Source organism: Homo sapiens, chromosome X (genome assembly GCF_000001405.40).
Source record: "Homo sapiens chromosome X, GRCh38.p14 Primary Assembly".
In the NCBI taxonomy this organism is placed as follows: domain Eukaryota; kingdom Metazoa; phylum Chordata; class Mammalia; order Primates; family Hominidae; genus Homo; species Homo sapiens.
The window spans coordinates 81,328,770-81,347,602 of NC_000023.11; positions in this window are offsets into that span (position 1 = coordinate 81,328,770).

Consider the following 18,833-nt stretch of genomic DNA (forward strand, 5'->3'; position numbering starts at 1 on the left):
GGATGATTGCTTTGGTCCCACCACAACACCTTGAAATTTGGTCCCCAGTGTGGCAGTGTTGGGAGGAGGGGCCTAGTGAAAGGTGTTTGGGAAATGGAGGAGGATTCCTCGTGAAAGGCTTGGTGCTATTCTTATAGTAGTGAATGTTTTTTGTCATTTATTAATGTGCTTTACATTTATTTGATGTGTTCCTTGTTTTTTTATATTTATGTTACATTGTTTGGAATTGGAAAGGAATTTAAGAGATCATTTGGCCCAGGGATACAAAATGTCTTACATAAAAGCTTCCACACTTATTCCCTTGTCCGTGCCAGATACTGTTTAAATGATTATAGTGATCTTTCCTATGGAGTCTCAGAATTCTTCTGAACACATTACTTTAGGAAGATGCTACCAATCATTAGATCTGGCACAGGAGTTAAAACCTATTTGCTACTTCAATCTAGTCTAGACAATCTCATTTTACCAACAAGGAAACTGAAATACAGAAAAATCAAATGATACCCCAGGACTCAAAACTTGTAACATGCAAAGGAAGAATAATTCTGGTGCTTCTTACTCAATCCAGTGGTATTTCTACTATATGTCTTTTAAGGTCATCTTGAAAGAGAAATTTTCTGAAGTAACAGGAAAATTACTATGAAGTGCACACTTCAAGATTTTCTTGAAAAACGTGCATTTCTGTTTTCAGTGCTAATCAACCCTGGTTATGACTAGTGTCTTAGAAAACACCAAAAAGAGTTGTTTATTTGAACAACATATGATATAAGCCCAGTATGAAATATTTGTTAAGTAAAGCTTTTCTGAGTGAAATAAGTGTGTGTGTGTATTTGTTCTCTCCCCCACTCCATCTCAAGCACCAAGTAACTCTTGGGACCCCCTAAGCCTTTTTAAAGAACAGTTTGAAAGCCATTACACTCGAGAAACAAATGTTTCTGCCTAAAGGAACTGTAAATATTATACATTCATAATTTAAAGTATATTTTTTCAACTCAGATACCATATCTATTTGTCAAACACAAAGAGTCATAGACTGATATTTCCCTGAATTATGCCAATGGACTTCATATATATAACAAACTAGTGATTCATTTTTAATGTACTTGATTAATAAGCAGATTTTATATTGGATTGTTAAATCAGGCAAGTGATACTACAGGAGACTATCTATGGATAAATAAGGCAAAATAATTGAAATATACTTTACTATTTATCCTTTGGGCTGCTACCATTACAAGCACTTATTCTGTGTTAGATATGTTGTACACAGTGCTATTATTTTTCAAAATTAACCTGAAATAAAGTCTCAGCTCAGTATTCTTGACATAGAAGGGAGGGAGTCAGAAAACTCCAGGTCCCAAATGTTCTTTAGCTTGTTACACCCTTCACACACACACAGTCCGAAATAATGTAAAGTAGCCTTAACTTGAGTCATTTATTTTCAACCCATTATAATAATTACCTTCAAACTTTTTGGTTATGATCTCCAGTGAGAAATATACCTTAAATCATGACTCAATAAATAAGTAAATATAGATCTATAAGTATGTAAGACTTTATCTACATCAGTCACTATATACATATTCATAAGCATGTATATCTCCCCATTCATACTGTAATTGGAAAATAAATTTAATGAAACTTCTTTTTTCTTGTCCTACTTTCTCCAATGTAGTTAGCAGTAGCCTGTCAATATCATTATATGCATTAGTTTCACAAAAATGTCCTAAGCTGTCAAATGCATGATAACCCAGAACCTTGCCTTTATAAGTATTTAATTAGAAGTATCCAATGGTCAAATTTTGCATATCTCTATTGACACATCATGCTGTGGACAGAGTGCCCTGTTTATCACTTGAAAGAGAGTCTGTAATGTCTTTAATTTGATTAGAGAAAAATTTCCAGAAAACCCAGAACCAAACCCGAAAATTCATCTTTAAGAAATCATCATATATACCATAAATATATATAATTTTTATTTATCGGTTAAAAAATAGATATCTCAGCCAGAGGTAAAATAAAACATAGAAAAATGCAGCCTTGCCAGCATCTGTTGTTTATTGACTTTTTAATAATCGTCATTCTTACTGGCAGGAGATAGTATCTCATTGTGGTTCTGATTTGCATTTCTCTAATGATCACTGATGTTGAGCTTTTTTTCATATGTTTTTTGGCTGCATATATGTCTTCTTTTGAGAAGGTTCTGTTCGTGTCCTTTGCTCAATTTTAATTGGTCGCTTTTTTTTCTCTTGTAAATTTGTTTAAGTTTCTTGTGGATTCTGGATATTAGACCTTTGTTAGATGGGTAGATTGCAAACATTTTCTCCCATTCTGTAGATTGTCTGTTCACTCTGATGATAGTTTATTTTGCTGTGCAGAAGCTCTTTAGTTTAAATCGATCCCATTTGTCAATTTTTGCTTTTGTTGCAATTGCTTTTGTTGTTTTTGCCATGAAATCTTTGCCTGTGCCTATGTCTTGAATGGTATTGCCTAGAATTTCTTCTAGGGTTTGTATAGTTATGGGTTTTACTTTTAAGTCTGTAATCCATCTTGAGGTGTTTTTTAATAAGGTTTAAGGAAGGGGTCCAGTTTCAATTTTCTAAAAATGGCTAGCCAGCTATCCCAGCACCATTTATTAAATAGGGAATCCTTTCCCCATTGCTTGTTTTTGTCAGGTTTGTTGAAGATCAAATGGTTTTAGATGTGCGGTCTTGTTTCTGGGATCTCTATTCTGTTCCGTTGGTCTGTGTGTCTGGTTTTTGTACCAGTACCATACTGTTTTGGTTACTGTACCCTTGTAGTATAGTTTGAGTCAGGTAGCATGATTCCTCCAGTTTTGTTCATTTTGCTTAGTGTTGTCTTGGCTATACAGGCTCTTTTTAGTTCTGTATGAATTTTAAAGTTTTTTTTTTTTAATTCTGTGAAGAGTGTCAATGATAGTTTAATGGAAATAGCATTGAACCTATAAATTTGGGCAGTATGGCCATTTTCAAGATATTGATTCTTTCTGTCCGTGATCATGGAATGTTTTTTCATTTGTTTGTTTCCTCTCTTATTTCCTTGAGCAGTGGTTTGTAGTTCTCCTGGAAGAGGCCTTTCACTTCCCCTTTTCACTCCATTTCTAAGTATTTTATTCTCTTTGTAGCAATTGTGAATGGGAGTTCATTCATGATTTGGCTCTCTGCTTGTCTATTGTTGGTGTATAGAAATGCTTGTGATTTTTGCACATTGATGTTGTATCCTGACACTTTGCTGAAGTTGCTTATCAGCTTAAGGAGTTTTTAGCCTGAGACGAAGGGGTTTTCCAGATATAGGATCATTTTTTCTTTTCCATTTTAACAATAGCCTTTTTGACTAGTGCAAGATGGAATCTTATTTGGGGTTTGATTTGCATTCCTCTACTGATTAGTGATGTGGAGCTTTCCATCTTATGCTTATTGTCCATGTGTATGTCTTCTTTTGAAACATTTCTGTTCATGTCCTTTGTCCACCTTTTAATAGGGTTGTTTGGTTTTTGCCTTTTTTTTTTTTTTTTTTGATAGAAGGTTTTACTTTCCTGCTCAGGCTGGAGTACTGGAGTGCAGTGTTGTGATCTTGGCTCACTGCAGCCTCCACCTCCCTAGGCTCAGGTGACCCTCCCACATAAGCCTCCTGAGTAGCTGGTTCTACAGCTGCAGGCCACCACACATGGCTAATTTTTATATTTTTTGTACAGACCAGATTTCACCATGTCCCCCAAAATGGTCTCAAACTCCTGGGCTCAAGGGATCCTCCCACCTTGGCATCTCAAAGTGCTGGAATTACAAGCATGAGCCACTGCACCTGGACGTACTTTGCTTGTTAATTTAAGTTCCTTATAGATGCTGTATATTAGACCTTTGTCTGGTGCATAGTTTGCTAATATTTTCTCCAATTTAATAGGTTGTCTATTTACTCTGCTGATAGTTTCTTTTGCTATGCAGAAGCTCTTTCATTTATTTAGGTCCCATTTATAAGTTTGTATTTCTGTTGCAATTGCTTTTCACATCTTCATGAAATATTTGCCAGGTCCTATGTCCAAAATTGTATTGCCTAGGTTATCTTCTAGCCTTTTTATAGCTTTAGGTTTTACATTTAAGTCCTTAATTCATCTTGAGTTGATTTTATATATGGTGTAAGGAAGGGGTCCTGTTTGAATTTTCTGCATATAGTTAGTCAATTATCCCAGCACCATTTATTGTGGCTATTGTGAATGGGATTGTGTTCTAGATTTGGCTTTTTGTTTGGATGTTGTTGGTATACAGGGATGCTACTGATTTTTATATACTAATTTTGTATCCCAAAACTTTACTGAAGTTGTTTATCTTATCAAGGAGATTTTGGTCAGAGACTCTAGGGTTTTCTAAATATAGAATCATATAATCTGCAAACAGGGATAGTTTGACTTCCTTTTGGATGACCTTTATTTTTATTTTTTCCTCTTGCCTGATTACTCAGGCCAGGACTTACAGTACTATGTTGAGTAAGAGAGTCGAGAGACTGCATCCTTTTCTTGTTCTAGTCCTCAAGGGGAATGCTTCCAGTTTTTGTGCACTTACTGTGATGTTGGTTGTGTGTTTGTCATAGGTGGCTCTTATTATTTTGAATTGTGTTCATTCAATGCCCAGTGTGTTAAAGGTTTTTAACATGGAAGGATGTTGGATTTTATCAAGTTCCTTTTCTGCATCTATGAGATGACAATGTCATTTTTGGTTTTAGTTTTGTTTATGTGATGAATCATATTTATTGATTTGTGTATGTTGAACCAACTTTACATCCTAGGGATCAAGCTTACTTGATTGTGGTGGATTAGTTTTTTTATATGCTGCTGGATTCAGTTTGCTAGTACTTTGTTGAGGAATTTGTGTCTGTGTTCATCAAGGATATTGGACTGAAGTTCATTGTTGTCGTTGTTGTTGTTGTTCGTCTGCCAGGTTTTCGTATCAGGATAATTCTGGGCTCATAGGATGACTCAGGGAAGAATCTCTCCTCCTCAGTTTTTTGGAATAATATCAGTAGGAATGGTACCAGCTCTTCTTTATTCATCTGGTAGAATTTGGCTGTGAATTTCCCTGGTTCTGGGCTTCTGGTTAGTAGGATTTTTATTACTGATTCAATTTCAGAACTTGTTGGTCTGTTCAGGGTTTCAATTTCTTCCTGATTCAGTAGTCAGAGCCTGTATGTTTCCATGAATTTATTCATTTCTTCTAGGTTTTCCATTTTGTGTGCATACTTGTGTTCTTGGTAGTCTCTGAGGGTTTTAGTATTTCTGTGTGTTCAATGATAAATGTCCCCTTTGTCATTTCCAATTGTGTTTATTTGGCTCTTTCTCCTTTTCTATCAGACTAACTAGTGATCTATCTATCTTATGAGTTCTTTCAAAGAACCGGTCCCTGGATCCATTTATCTTTTGTATGTTATTGTTTCCCAATTCCTTTCAAGTCAGCTCTGATTTTGGTTATTGTCTTCTTCTGGCTTTGGTGTTGTTTATTCTTGTTTCTCTAGCTCTTCTATGTGTGATGTTAGATTATTAATTTGAGATCTTTCTGACTTTTTGATGTGGCTGTTTACTGCTATAACCTTCTCTCTCAACACTGCTTTAGCTGTGTCCCAGAGATTCTGGTATGTTGTATCTTTGTTTTCATAAGTTTTAAAGAATTTCTTGATTTCTGCCTTAATTACATTATTTACCCGAAAGTCATTCAAGAGCAGGTTATTCAATTTCCATATAGTTGTATGGTTTTAAGTGAATTACTCAGTCTTGATTTCTAATTTGATTGTACTGTGGTCTGAGAGATTCTCTGTTATGATTTCAGTTATTTTGCACTTGCTGAGAAGAATTGAGATGTGATCATTTTTAGAGTATGTGCCATGTGGTATTGAGAAGAATGTATATTCTGTGGTTTTTGGGTATGTCTTTGTTAATTTTCTGCCTCAGTGATCTGTCTGATACTGTCAGTGGGGTGTTACCATCCCCCACTGTAATTGTGTGGGAGTCTAAGTCTCTTTAACGGTCTCTAAAAACTTTCTTTATTAATCGTTCTTCTCCTGCATTGAGTGCATATATATTTAGGATACTTAGGTCTTCTTGTTGAATTGAACCCTTTACCATTAGGTAATGCCCTTCTTTGTCTTTTTTGATCTTTGTTGGTTTAAAGTCTGTTTTGTCTGAAATTACAATTGCAGCTCCTTCTTTTTTCTGTTTTCCGTTTGCTTTGTATAATTTTCTCCATCCCTTTACTTTGAGCCTATGTGTATTATTGCATGTGAAATGTGTCTTTTGAAGACAGCATACCATTAGGTCATACTTCTTTTTACAGCTTGATATTCTATGCCTTTTAATTGGTACAATTAGCCCAATTATATTCAAGTTTAATGTTGACATGTGTGGATTTGATCCTGTCATCAGTTTGTCAGCTGGTTATTATGCAGTGTTTTTTGTGTGGTTGCTTTATAGTTTCAATGGCCTATGTATGTAACTGTGCTTTGGTAGTGCTTGGTAATAGTCTTTCCTTTCCATATTTAGCACTAATTTAGGGGCCTCTTTTAAGGTAAGTCTTTTGCTTACAAATTCCCTTAGCATTTGCTTGTCTGAAACGGATCTTATTTCTCCTTCACTTATTAAGTTTAGTTTGGCTGGATATGAAATTCTTGGTTGGAAATTATTTTCTTTAGGAATGTTGAATATAGGTCCCCAATCTCTTCTGGATTGTAGGGTTTCTGCTGAAAGATCTGCTGTTATCCTGATGGGGTTCCCTTTGTAGGTGACCTGTCCCTTCTTTTAGGTGCCTTTAACATTTATTCTTTCATTTCAACCTTGGAGAATCTGATGACTAGGTATCTTGTGGATGGTCTTTTTTGGTAGTGTCTTGCAAGGGTTCTCTGCATTTCCTGAATTTCAATATTGGCCTCTCTAGAGAGGCAGGGGAAATTTTCATTGACAATATCTTGAAATATGTTTTCCTAGTTACTTGCTTTTTCTCTTTCTCTTTCAGTGATGCCAATGAGTCATAGATTTGGTCTCTTTACATAAGCCCATATTTCTTGGAGGTTTTGTTAATCATTTTTAATTCTTTTTTCTTTACCTTTGTCTGACTGAGTTAGTTCAGAAAACCAGTCTTCAAGCTCTGCAATTCTTTTCTCAGCTTGTTGTAATCTGCTGTTAATATTTGTGATTTTATTATGAAATTCTTTTAGTGTGTTTTTCAGCTGTATCTGATCAGTTTGTTTCTTTCTTATAATGCCATTTGGTCTGTCAGCTCCTGTATCTTTTTATTCTAATCCTTAGATTCTTTGGATGGGGTTTCAACTTTCTCCTGAATGTCAGTGATCTCTTCATTCCTCTCCATATTCTCAGTTCTATTTCTGACATTTCAGCCATGTCAGCCTTGGTAAGAACCCTTGCTGAGGAAGTAGTGCGATTATCTGGAAGGAACAAGACACTCTGGCTTTTTGGGTTGCCAGAGTTATTGCACTGTTTTTTCTCATCTGTGTGGACTGATGTTCCTTTCACTGTGGTGTAATTCGAGTACAGTCTATTGACTTCTTTTCTCGATATTTTCAGAGGACCACAGCTTTGTGCAGCATCCTTATTTGTTGCTGAGTTATCTTTCTTGGCTTCACAGGGGGTCATAATAGCAAAGTGTTTCTGGTGTTTAAATGTGGGCGTGATCCAGTAGATAACACTTAAGTGTAATGACCAGCAGGTAGGCTCTTGCTCAGCTATGTGGCTCCTATGCATTTCCTCACAATTGCAGCCATTCCCCCTTTCACTTCTTTGAAAGTGTGGACTCCTCTCTCACTTGAGTGCTGACTCTAGATCTTGACTTGGCAGTCCAGAGCTGCACACTGCAGCCCTGGGGTGAACTCAGTGTTTATGTTTCTTTCCCAGCTTCGATCCAGCAGGGGGAGGGACCTTGGCAGTGGCTGTGGCAGAGAGCTTTTTACTTGTTTCTTGGGGATTCACCCCAGAGAAATGCAGAGCTACTGTCCATAGGTGTGACTGGCCTGGGGTGGGGAGGCTGCATTGTAGGCCCAAGGTGGAGAGCCCTGCCCGATGATGAGCAGTGGCTGGGGGGCTCATGGGGAGACAGACTGGCCTCTGTTCCTTAGGACAGCTGTGCTGCTTGTTGAAGGTGTGGTTAAAGCATGCAGATTCTTTTCCCCAGTCCAAGGGCAGTAAGGGCAGTACCATTGGCAGCAGTGCAGAGGTGCTTTCGGTTGCCTCTGGAAACTCCACCTCAGAAATATGAAGAGCCACTGCTACTGGGAATGTTCAGCCAGGAGTGGGGCAGCTGTGCTGCTGGCCCTTGCTGAGGGCCCCACTTGGAGAAGAGCGGGGCTCACAGGGAGAAGAGACTGGGCTCCTCTCCCTGTGGGGTGACTGTGTCTTGCTGGAAGCACGATCAAAGCCCTCAGGCTCTGTTTCTTCTTCAGTCTGAGGGCATCAGGGGCAGACCTACTGCTGGATTTTGGTTGCCTCTATGAGCCTGTCCCCAGGGAAACACAGAGCCACTAGAGGCGGATCAGGATCACAGTGGCTGAATGCTCAGCTAGGGGTGGGGTGACTATTCTGTGGTTCTGAGTTGAGGGCCCTGCCTGGTGAGGATTGGGGGTTGGAGGGTCACAGGTAAGAGAGACTGGACCTCTCTCCATATAGTGGCTATGGCATGCTGGGGGTTCCAGCATAACAATCAGGCCCTTTGTTTTTTCCCCAACCCAAGGACAGTAAGGAAGCTTATAGTAAGGAAGGACAGTAAGCAGCTGCAATAGCAGAGTGGCTGTGAGTTGTTTCTGGAATTTTCTCCTGAAATAAATGCAGAGGCACCACCCACTGAAGTGTTGAGGAAGGGGCAGGGTGTGCTTGGTGCCTAGGTAGAGAGGCACTGCTCGGTAAAGAGTAGTAGAAGTGGGGGACCAACGTGAAAAACAGTCTGGCTGCTTTTCCTTGACACAACTGTGCTATGCTAGGGGTATCCATTACTCTCTAATCACTGTGTACCCTCCCAAGCCTGAGGGCAACAGAAGCAAGGGCTGCAGAGAAGCAAAACTGCAGCCTGCCTTATCCCTCAAGGAGCTCTGTTCCAGGGAAGTACAGAGCTGCTACCAGCCCGAGAGCCCAGGCAGGGTGTGGCTGGGGTCCCATGTCCCTAGGCCGTTCCCAGTGAGTAGTAGCAGGGTGGGGGACCCACATGGAAGGCAGTGTGACCACTTTTCCATAAGGCAGCTGCACTGTGCTGGGGGGTCCATGGTAGTCCCTAATCACTGCACACCTTTCTGAGCCTGAGGGCAACAGGAGTGAGAGGTGCTGAGCAGGAAAAATGGCAGCCTGCTTCTCCCTCTGAGAGCTTTGTCCCAGGGAAGTGCACGGAGCTCTTGGCCTGAGAACTTAGATAGGGCTGGGGTGGCCTCACTAGCATCCCAGGCCAGTGGTTCTTATTCTGCAAGACGCCGTGCAGGTGAGGCCTGCAGTCTGGCCCTGCTCAACCCCATGGATTTGGCCCCTTTCTTGGGTGTGTCTGAGGGAGCCTGGCATCCTCCATTGCATGAGCTGCAGCTACTGGTTCCCGTGTTCCCAGGGATCCAAAGCTTCTGGAACTCCATGTGCGCCTGAGCAGCAGCTCTGCCAAGAGTCCCAGTAGCTCTCCGTGTTGATCTGGAGGCCTGGGGGTGGGGGTGGGGGTGGGTGGTAGGGGTGGGGGCTCACAAGGGATCTCCTGAGCCCAAGGATGCCATACCCTGGTGAGTTGTGCTGTCTTACTCTTCTCCGTTCCCTGTGGATTGTTTTGTTTCCTTGATGAATCGCATTTTGTCCACCTAGATGTTCCAATTGAAGAGCTAGTGTTTATTTGCCACTCTTTCATCTCTCCGTGAGAGTGGAGCACACTAGCCACTTCTAGTCAGCCATTTTGCCACACCCGGATGGACCATGTTTTTTAATCCATTCTGCCAATTTTCCTATTGATTTAAGAGTTTAATTCACTTACATTTAGAAGTAATTACTGATAAATAAAACTTCAGACATTTTTGTTTTTGTTTTGATAAATTTCATACCGTTTCTGTCCCTCATCTCTTCATTAGTGCTTTCATTTGTATTTTTTTTTATTGTATTGTAGGGAATTTTCATTCCCTTCTCATTGCCTTTCACCTATATTTTAAAAATATTTTCTTAGTGATTACCATGGGAATTATAATTCACATTCTTAATTTATAACAGTGTAGTCTTAATTGATATAACCTTATTTTCAGTAGCATATAAAAACTTTGTGCCTATATAGCTCTGTGTCTCCCCTCTTTATCTTGTTGTTCTCTTCACAAATTACATCTTTTTACATTGCGTAATCAATAACTGATTTATTTTTTATGCATTTGTATTTTAAATCAATTCTTGTCTTTTTAATGAAGTCTGGTGTCATTCCATTTGAACCCAAATGACTCCCTTTGGCATTTGTTATATGGCAGACTTATTGGCAATAAACTGTCTCAACATTGGTTTACCTGTGTATGTCTTAATTTTTCCTACATTTCTGAAACATAATTTTTAGGATTCTTGCTTGACATGTTTTATTTTTCTTTTAACACCTTAAATATGTTATCTCACTGCTTTCTGGACTCCGTGGTTTGCGATGAGAAATTGGCTGTTGTTCTTATTGAGGATTCCTTGTATTCGATGATCCACTTCTCTTGCTGCTTTCAAGAGTGCCCTTTTGTTTTAAGCTTTTGACAGTTTGATTATAATGCATTTCCTTGTGAATCTCTTTGAATGTATCTTACTTAAAGTCTGTTGAGTTTTTGGATGTGTAGATTCATGTATTTTATCAAATTTGTATTGTTTTGTTATTTCTTCAAATAATCATTCTGTTTCTTTCCCTTTTGCATTGCTGTTCTCATTATGCACATGTGTGTTGATTTGCTTGATAGAGTCCCACTAGTCCCTTAGGATCTGTTCACCTTAGTACATTTTTTTCTGCCTCTCAGACTGGATTATTTCAATTGTCTTGTCTTCAAGTCTGCTGAATCTTTCTCCTCTCTCTTAAAATATGTTTTGAATCTCTAGTATTTTTTAAATTTCAGTTATTGTAAGCTGAATAATTTCTTTTTTTAAATTTATTATTATTATACTTTTAGGGTACATGTGCACAATGTGCAGGTTAGTTACATATGTATACATGTGCCATGCTGGTGCGCTGCACCCACTAACTCGTCATCTAGCGTTAGGTATATCTCCCAGTGCTATCCCTCTCCCCTCCCCCCACCCCACAACAGTCCCCAGAGTGTGATGTTCCCCTTCCTGTGTCCATGTGTTCTCATTGTTCAATTCCCACCTGAGTGAGAATATGCGGTGTTTGGTTTTTTGTTCTTGCGATAGTTTACTGAGAATGATGATTTCCAATTTCATTCATGTCCCTACAAAGGACATGAATTCATCATTTTTTATGGCTGCATAGTATTCCATGGTGTATATGTGCCACATTTTCTTAATCCAGTCTATCATTGTTGGACATTTGGGTTGGTTCCAAGTCTTTGCTATTGTGAATAATGCCACAATAAACATATGTGTGCATGTGTCTTTATAGCAGCATGATTTATAGTCTTTTGGGCATATACCCACTAATGGGATGGCTGGGTAAATGGTATTTCTAGTTCTAGATCCCTGAGGAATCACCACACTGACTTCCACAATGGTTGAACTAGTTTACAGTCCCACCAACAGTATAAAAGTGTTCCCTTTTCTCCACATCCTCTCCAGCACCTGTTGTTTCCTGACTTTTTAATGATTGCCATTCTAACTGGTGTGAGATGGTATCTCATTGTGGTTTTGATTTGCATTTCTCTGATGGCCAGTGATGGTGAGCATTTTTTCATGTGTTTTTTGGCTGCATAAATGTCTTCTTTTGAGAAGTGTCTGTTCATGTCCTTCGCCCACTTTTTGATGGGGTTGTTTGTTTTTTCCTTGTAAATTTGTTTGAGTTCATTGTAGATTCTGGATATTAGCCCTTTGTCAGATGAGCAGGTTGCGAAAATTTTCTCCCATTTTGTAGGCTGCCTGTTCTCTCTGATTGTAGTTTCTTTTGCTGTGAAGAAGCTCTTTAGTTTAATTAGATCCCATTTGTCAATTTTTGCTTTTGTTGCCATTGCTTTTGTTGTTTTAGACATGAAGTCCTTGCCCATGCCTATGTCCTGAATGGTAATGCCTAGGTTTTCTTCTAGGGTTTTTTATGGTTTTAGGTCTAACGTTTAAGTCTTTAATCCATCTTGAATTGATTTTTGTATAAGGTGTAAGGAAGGGATCCAGTTTCAGCTTTCTACATATGGCTAGCCAGTTTTCCCAGCACCATTTATTAAATAGAGAATCCTTTCCCCATTGCTTGTTTTTCTCAGGTTTGTCAAAGATCAGATAGTTGTAGATATGTGGCATTATTTCTGAGGGCTCTGTTGTGTTCCATTGATCTATATCTCTGTTTTTGTACCAGTACCATGCTGTTTTGGTTACTGTAGCCTTGTAGTATAGTTTGAAGTCAGGTAGCGTGATGCCTCCAGCTTTGTTCTTTTGGCTGAGAATTGACTTGGCGATGCGGGCTCTTTTTTGGTTCCATATGAACTTTAGTTTTTTCCAATTCTGTGAAGAAAGTCATTGGTAGCTTGATGGGGATGGCATTGAATCTGTAAATTACCTTGGGCAGTATGGCCATTTTCACGACATTGATTCTTCCTATCCATGAGCATGGAATGTTCTTCCATTTGTTTGTGTCCTCTTTTATTTCCTTGAGCAGTGGTTTGTAGTTCTTCTTGAAGAGGTCCTTCACATCCCTTGTAAGTTGGATTCCTAGGTATTTTATTCTCTTTGAAGCAATTGTGAATGGGTGTTCACTCATGATTTGGCTCTCTGTTTGTCTGTTGTTGGTGTATAAGAATGCTTGTGATTTTTGTACATTGATTTTGTATCCTGAGACTTTGCTGAAGTTGCTTATCAGCTGAAGGAGATTTTGGGCTGAGACAATGGGGTTTTCTAGGTATACAATCATGTCGTCTGCAAACAGGGACAATTTGACTTCCTGTTTTCCTAATTGAACACCCTTTATTTCCTTCTCCTGCCTAATTGCCCTGGCCAGAAATTCCAACACTATGTTGAATAGGAGTGGTGAGAGAGGGCATCCCTGTCTTGTGCCAGTTTTCCAAGCTAATGCTTCCAGTTATTGCCCATTCAGTATGGTATTGGCTGTGGGTTTGTCATAGATAGCTCTTATTATTTTGAGATACGTCCCATCAATACCTAATTTATTGAGAGTTTTTAGCATGAAGAGTCGTTGAATTTTGTCAAAGGCCTTTTCTACATCTATTGAGATAATCATGTGGTTTTTGTCTTTCGTTCTGTTTATATGCTGGATTACATTTATTGATTTGTGTATATTGAACCAGCCTTGCATCCCAGGGATGAAGCCCACTTGATCATGGTGGATAAGCTTTTTGATGTGCTGCTGGATTCGTTTTGCCAGTATTTTATTGAGGATTTTTGCATCAATGTTCATCAAGGATATTGGTCTAAAATTCTCTTTTTTGGTGTGTCTCTGCCCGGCTTTGGTATCAGGATGATGCTGGCCTCATAAAATGAGTTAGGGAGGATTCCCTCTTTTCCTAGTGATTGGAATAGTTTCAGAAGGAATGGTACCAGTTCCTCCTTGTACCTCTGGTAGGATTCGGTTGTGAATCCATCTGGTCCTGGACTCTTTTTGGTTGGTAAGCTATTGATTATTGCCACAATTTCAGCTCCTGTTATTGATCTATTCAGAGATTCAAATTCTTCCTGGTTTAGTCTTGGGAGAGTGTATGTGTCGAGGAATTTATCCATTTCTTCTAGATTTTCTAGTTTATTTGCGTAAAGGTGTTTATAGTATTCTCTGATGGTAGTTCGTATTTCTGTGGGATCAGTGGTGATATCCCCTTTATCATTTTTTATTGTGTCTATTTGATTCTTCTCTCTTTTTTTTCTTTATTAGTCTTGCTAGCGGTCTATCAATTTTGTTGACCCTTTCAAAAAACCAGCTCCTGGATTCATTAATTTTTTGGAGGGTTTTTTGTGTCTCTATTTCCTTCAGTTCTGCTCTGATTTTAGTTATTGCTTGCCCTCTGCTAGCTTTTGAATGTGTTTGCTCTTGCTTTTCTAGTTCTTTTAATTGTGATGTTAGGGTGTCAATTTTGGATCTTTCCTGCTTTCTCTTGTGGGCATTTAGTGCTATAAATTTCCCTCTACACACTGCTTTGAATGCGTCCCAGAGATTCTGTTATGGTGTATCTTTGTTCTCATTGGTTTCAAAGAACATCTTTATTTCTGCCTTCATTTCGTTATGTACCCAGTAGTCATTCAGGAGCAGGTTGTTCAGTTTCCATGTAGTTGAGTGGTTTTGAGTGAGATTCTTAATCCTGAGTTCTAGTTTGATTGCACTGTGGTCTGAGAGAGAGTTTGTTATAATTTCTGTTCTTTTACATTTGCTGAGGAGAGCTTTACTTCCAACTATGTGGTCAATTTTGGAATAGGTGTGGTGTGGTGCTGAAAAAATGTATATTCTGTTGATTTGGGGTGAAGAGTTCTGTAGATGTCTATTAGGTCTGCTTGGTGCAGAGCTGAGTTCAATTCCTGGGTATCCTTGTTAACTTTCTGTCTCACTGATCTGTCTAATGTTGACAGTGGGGTGTTAAAGTCTCCCATTATTATTGTGTGGGAGTCTAAGTCTCTTTGTAGGTCACTCAGGACTTGCTTTATGATTCTGGGTGCTCCTGTATTGGGTACATATATATTTAGGATAGTTAGCTCTTCTTGTTGAATTGATCCCTTTACCATTATGTAATGTTCTTCTTTGTCTCTTTTGATCTTTGTTGGTTTAAAGTCTGTTTTATCAGAGACTAGGGTTGCAACCCCTGCCTTTTTTTGTTTTCCATTTGCTTGGTAGATCTTCCTCCATCCTTTTATTTTGATCCTATGTGTGTCTCTGCACAAGAGATGGGTTTCCTGAATACAACACACTGATGGGTCTTGAGTCTTTATCCAATTTGCCAGTCTGTGTCTTTTAATTGAAGCATTTAGTCCATTTACATTTAAAGTTAATATTGTTATGTATGAATTTGATCCTGTCATTATGATGTTAGCTGATTATTTTGCTCGTTAGTAGGTGCAGTTTCTTCCTAGTCTTGATGGTCTTTACATTTTGGCATGATTTTGCAGGAGCTGGTATCGGTTGTTCCTTTCCATGTTTAGTGCTTCTTTCAGGAGCTCTTTTAGGGCAGGCCTGGTGGTGACAAAATCTCTCAGCATTTGCTTGTCTGTAAACTATTTTATTTCTCCTTCACTTATGAAGCTTAGTTTGGCTGGATATGAAATTCTGGGTTGAAAATTCTTTTCTTTAAGAATGTTGAATATTGGCCCCCACTCTATTCTGGCTTGTAGAGTTTCTGCCAAGAGATCCGCTGTTAGTCTGATGGGCTTCCCTTTGTGGGTAACCCGACCTTTCTCTCTGGCTGCCCTTAACATTTTTTCCTTCATTTCAACTTTGGTGAATCTGACAATTTTGTGTCTTGGAGTTGCTCTTCTCGAGGAGTATCTTTGTGGCATTCTCTGTATTTCCTGAATCTGAATGTTGGCCTGCCTTGCTAGATTGAGGAAGTTCTCCTGGATGATATCCTGCAGAGTGTTTTCCAGCTTGGTTCCATTCTCCCCGTCACTTTCAGGTACACCAATCAGATGCGGATTTGGTCTTTTCACATAGTCCCATATTTCTTGGAGGCTTTGCTTGTTTCTTTTTATTCTTTTTTCTCTAAACTTCCCTTCTCACTTCATTTCATTTACTTCATCTTCCATCGCTGATACCCTTTCTTCCAGTTGATCGCATCGGCTCCTGAGGCTTCTGCATTCTTCACGTAGTTCTCGAGCCTTGGTTTTCAGCTACATCAGCTCCTTTAAGCACTTCTCTGTATTGGTTATTCTAGTTATACATTCTTCTAAACTTTTTTCAAAGTTTTCAACTTCTTTGCCTTTGGTTTGAATTTCCTCCCTTAGCTCGGAGTAATTTGATCATCCGAAGCCTTCTTCTCTCAGCTCGTCAAAGTCATTCTCCGTCCAGCTTTGTTCCCTTGCTGGTGAGGAACTCTGTTCCTTTGGAGGAGGAGAGGCGCTCTGCTTTTTAGAGTTTCCAGTTTTTCTGTTCTGTTTTTTCCCCATCTTTGTGGTTTTATGTACTTTTGGTCTTTGATGATGGTGATGTACAGATGGGTTTTTGGTGTGGATGTCCTTTCTGTTTGTTAGTTTTCCTTCTAACAGAGAGGACCCTCAGCTGCAGGTCTGTTGGAGTACCTGGCCGTGTGAGGTGTCAGTCTGCCCCTGCTGGGGGGTGCCTCCCAGTTAGGCTGCTCGGGGTTCAGGGGTCAGGGACCCACTTGAGGAGGCAGTCTGCCCATTCTGAGATCTCCAGCTGCGTGCTGGGAGAACCACTGCTCTCTTCAAAGCTGTGAGACATGGACATTTAAGTCTGCAGAGGTTACTGCTGTCTTTTTGTTTGTCTGTGCCCTGCCCCCAGAGGTGGAGCCTACAGAGGCAGGCAGGCCTCCTTGAGCTGTGGTGGGCTCCACCCAGTTTGAGCTTCCCGGCTGCTTTGTTTACCTAAGCAAGCCTGAGCAATGGTGGGCGCCCCTCCCGCAGCCTCGCAGCCGCTTTGCAGTTTGATCTCAGACTGCTATGCTAGCAATCAGCGAGACTCCGTGGGTGTAGGACCCTCTGAGCCATGTGCGGGATATAATGTCCTGGTGCGCCGTTTTTTAAGCCCATCGGAATAGCGCAGTATTCGGTTGGGAGTGACCCGATTTTCCAGGTGCAGTCTGTCACCCCTTTCTTTGACTGGGAAAGGGAACTCCCTGACCCCTTGCACTTCCTTAGTGAGGCAATGCCTCGCCCTGCTTCGGCTCGCGCACTGCGCGCACACCCACTGACCTGTACCCACTGTCTGGCACTCCCTAGTGAAGATGAACCCGGTACCTCAGATGGAAATGCAGAAATCACCGGTCTTCTGCATTGCTCATGCTGGGAGCTGTTGACCGGAGCTGTTCCTATTCGGCCATCTTGGCTCCTCCCTTAATAATTTCACTTTGGTTCCTTTTTTATAGTTTCTTTTTATTAAAATTCTCATTTTGTTCAATATATTGCTTTCTTGGTTTCCTTTAGTTCTTCATTCATAGTTTCCATTAGCTCTTTGAGTGTATTTAATACAGTTGACTTAAAGCCTTTGTGTGGTAAGTCCAATATCTGGTCTTCCTCAGGAATGATTTATTTTTTCCTTTGAATGGCTGTACTTTTTTGTTTCTTTGTATACTCATTGTATTTCAAAAATTGCACATTTGACTATTATAATGTAGTTACCAAGGTTGGTTGTTCTTTATTCCTGAAAGTTACAGTTTTTCTATTTTTCTATTGCAAAGATTGTATTCACTGAACTTGTGTTCACTGAAGTCTCTAGTTCTATTAGCTTCTGTTCAGCTTGTGTTTTCTGAGATTTTCTTAAGGTCGAGGAGTTCAAAAAAACAAACACATACAAAACACCACTCCCACTCTTTGAGTATTGGCTTTGTGCTATGGCAAGGCTTTTAGGCTTAGCCAAGCCATTTGCAAGTCTGACATAACCTTCACTTTCTGCTTGCCTTGAGTCTAGATATTAGCCAGAGGTGAAATCTTAGGGTCTTCTCAAGCCTTTTCTGAGCATGCATTCTGTCCTTAGCATTAAGTCTATTTTTAAATTCCCCGGTATATAGGAGGACTTTTGCATGCCCAAGTTTCCCGAAGAAACTTTCTTCTCAGGCTTTCCTACCAAGATTTAGACAGTGTGCTGTATGTATAGGTCATAGTGATTTGCTTCAGGTGGCTGTGTGTTTCTTATTCACCTTACAATGTTTTCAAGCAGTGCCCACTGGTTTTCCACCTCGAGTGAGTTCTGAGTTATGTACTTTTATATGTGTGCTATATACTGTAGTATTTTCTGCTGTTTTATTTCTTTTTCTCAACAAGGCCAGTAGCATACTACTAGATATTAATTTCACATAACCTCCTTTCTTTCCAAAGTCTCTGCATTACAGAATTAATATAAAAGGTACTTGGGATTTGAGAGTGACTCTTGCCTTATTCCACTAGCTTTCACCCATAGTGCAACCTTAGGAATATGTCTGTGTCTATCCTTTATCAGTGTAAAGGGAAACCTTTTCTTCTTTCAACCTCAACCGTGATCCCAGATATTTTAATTCTCTTCTGCTTTCTTTTTGGGAAATGGCGGTTGCGGTATATATTAACTTCCTGTGAATTCCATAACAAACTATCACAAATAAGTGGCTTAAGACAATGGAGATTTATTCTCTCACAGTTCCGGAAGCCAGAAGTTTGAAACGAAGCTATCAACATTTCTACATTCCCTCTGGAGACTCTAGAGGATAAAATGTTCTTAGTCTGTTTTGGCATCTGTTGGTTTCTGGAAGTGCTTGGCATGTGGCTGCATCACTGCCATCTCTGTTTCCATGATCACAATGCCTCCTCTTTCTTCTCTCTGTCTAATCATCTCCCTCTTCCTTACCCTTATAAGGAAAGTTGTCATTGGATTTAGGGTTCACTTGGATAATTAAGGGTGATCACCTCATCTCAAAATCCTTAATTACATTTACAAAGACCCCTTTTTCCAAATAAGGTAACATTCACAGGTTCCAGGGATTCAGATGTAGACATCTATTTTTGGGGGGAGGGGTCACCTTTTTACCCATGACAGGGGATTTAGGAGAAGAGAAAAGAC